This window comes from Homo sapiens, chromosome 20 (assembly GCF_000001405.40).
Source record: "Homo sapiens chromosome 20, GRCh38.p14 Primary Assembly".
Classification (NCBI taxonomy): Eukaryota; Metazoa; Chordata; class Mammalia; order Primates; family Hominidae; genus Homo; species Homo sapiens.
Window position 1 is genome coordinate 52,941,131 of NC_000020.11, and position 3,012 is coordinate 52,944,142.

Sequence of the window (3,012 nt, forward strand, 5' to 3'; positions counted from 1 at the left end):
TTGTAGGCCAGATTTGTTTGCTGATTCCTGGTCTTTTAGACCCCTGTTGGCAGGTATAGTTTGCTGAACTCTGGTATATTAGGTCTACCCAGAAAGAGGTAAATATTTCTGAATGATTCTTTTTTTTTTCTTTTTCTTTTTTTTTTTTTTTTTGAGACGGAGTCTCGCTCTGTCGTCCAGGTTGGAGTGCAGTGGCGCCATCTCTGCTCACTGGAAGCTCCACCTCCGGGGTTCACGCCATTCTCCTGCCTCAGCCTCCTGAGTAGCTGTGATTGCAGCCACTCACTAGCACGCCCGGCTAATTTTTCTATTTTTAGTAGAGACGGGGTTTCACCGTGTAAGCCAGGATAGTCTCGATCTCCTGACCTCGTGATCTGCTCACCTGGGCCCCTCAAAGTGCTGGGATTACAGGCGTGAGCCACCGCGCCCGGCCTCTGAATGATTCTTTAATTCAAGTCTTCATAAAAACAACATAAAGAATTAATCAAGAGTAAAGTCAAAATTATATAGAAATATCTAAACTCTTTCACTTAGAGGTTACTATATTTAATATATGCATGTATATTTATATCAAACTAAAAAGTATTACATAATCTGTGATAAGAACCTGTAGTTCCTCATAAAGAAATGGTAAAACCCTTGGAGAGCTGTTATATCATGTGTAAGTTAGGATATTGCCTAAGATGCTGTTTAAAAAAAAATTATAGTGGTTTTACATGATAGAAGTGTATTTCTCTCTCTCTCCAACCATACTCAACACATGGTGTCTATCTCTGGCTTGTCCAAGAGGGTGGTGTCAATCATCTCCAGCTGTAACCATTAGGAATTGGGAAAGAGGCACGGGAAGTCACACCCAGCTCTTCTGGGGAGCATCGCACGCCACTTCTGCTCATATCTCATTAACCATAATTTACTCACATGGCCACAACCCAGCTATGAGGGAAGTTGGGAAATGTAGTCTCAAGCTGGGCAACCATCTGCTCCACTAAAATATGAGTGTTACATTGTTGTAATAAAAGACATAAGAGAGAGGAGAAAACACTAGCAGTCTTTTGCATACATCATAATGGAAAAGACTTTAAACTATGGAGTCAGACTGATCAATTTTGGCTCCACTCCTTACCAGTTATGTATTATTAAGGACCATTTAGCCTTTTTGAACCTCAGGTTCCTCATTGGTAAAATGAGAATGATAATAACAACCTCTCAGTTCCTCATTTTATAAGTCTCCCTATATCCCAATCATCCTCACTAGGGAGAGAAATCTGAACAGTCAAATCCACCCATGGTTCCAAATCCAGGCTAAGTTATCCAAGGGCACCGAGTGTTCAACACTGCCCATTTCTCAGTTCTGATTAGTGATATCAAAAGAGAATGGGCCACACCATGATTTTATTACTGACACTGACTTAAATCAAGGTCAGTGAGGAAAACAACTGTTCTGTTATGGGAAGCTTTCTTGAGCACACAGGCTCCAAGTTTTTGTCAGTAAAGTTATTTTCTTTGTGAGATTATTCCTTTTTCTCTTGCACAAAACCTTGCCAAACACTGGTGTACCTTTGTCCACTGAGGAAATAACTAGCCCACGTGTGACTCTCTCTCTTCTTATTGTTTTCTTCATTTGTATATGTCTTTTTTTCTTCTTAGTATTATTGTAATGTCATTAACACAGGGAAAGAGCCCTGTGTCAATGGCCATGGAAACAGAGCAACGGAGCACAGCTTTAATTGAACTACAGCCTCCTTTCCATCACACCTTTTGCTTGGCCCAAACCATTTTGTAATCACTGGAGTATAAATATTGTAGTTTTTGTCCCTTGTTTTGTCTTTCTCTCCATAAGGTCTGAGTGACCTCACACATTCCACTTTTCCAGATAAGACCTAATACCTTCCCCTTCTCCAAAACAATAGATTTTCTCCTCTGATACCTCTCATTCAACATCTACATTTGCAAACTGTTGCAAGGATTTAATGAGGTGATACATGCAAAGTTCTTAGAACCAATCATAATGCACAGTAAATGCTAAATTAAAAGTTGGCTCCTCCACAAACAACATAGAGTTGGTTCTGAGTTTAGCTTCCAATCCCTCCCCACTAAGAAATGGGTCAAGCCATTATCCAAATGTATCTAATGGAATTATCTATGTTCTTTGGCTTAAATTCTTCATTATTCATTCTTCCATGCCAGAGCAGTCTTCACTGAAACATCAAAAGGCTGCTTACTAATATCAGGGAATTCCCTGACTGCAATTGCCCAAAGGACACGCCCTAAACTAAAGTCTAGAACAGCTGTGGAGCTAAAGAAGTAGGCATCCCATGCCATGCTCTGCAAATTGCCTTCCAGTAATTCTTTATTGTACAGGAATGGCTTCTGTCTCTTTATGTTAGCCATTCCATCATGGTTTCCTCTCCCTGAACATTTTCTCTCTCTGCTCAATTGCATCTTCTAAGGCGGCCAAATGGAGTTTTGAAGCCAGCTCCTTTTAGTGTATGGAAATTTCCAGATTGAGATTGTTTCCCATTGGGCAATACCACAAGCATGACTCATCTGATGATGTACTCAATGTGTTCCCTGTCTCTGTAGAACTCTGGAGTCTTATAATTTAACATTATATGCATTATAGGATAAATGGTACATTATAATATGATGAAAATTGATATTAAAAGGCAGAAATCATTGCTGTCAATTTTTAGCTTCTTCACCATAATTTCTCAACTAATGTTAGAGACTCATTTTTTACCTCCCCACTAGGAGTCTCTAGTTTAACCAGATTCATGTGGGTATTTTTTCTCTTTTGTTGTCATTCATTTATTCATTCATTTTTCTACACACTGGTGTTTGTTTGTTTGTTTGTTTGTTTACCACTGGGTCTTGCTCTCTTGCCCAGGCTGGAGTGCAGTGGTATAATCATGGATCACTGCAGACTCAACCTCCTGGGCTAAAGCTATTCTCCCATCTCAGCCTCCTGAGGTAGTTGGGACTAGAGGCATATGCCACAACACCCAGCTAATT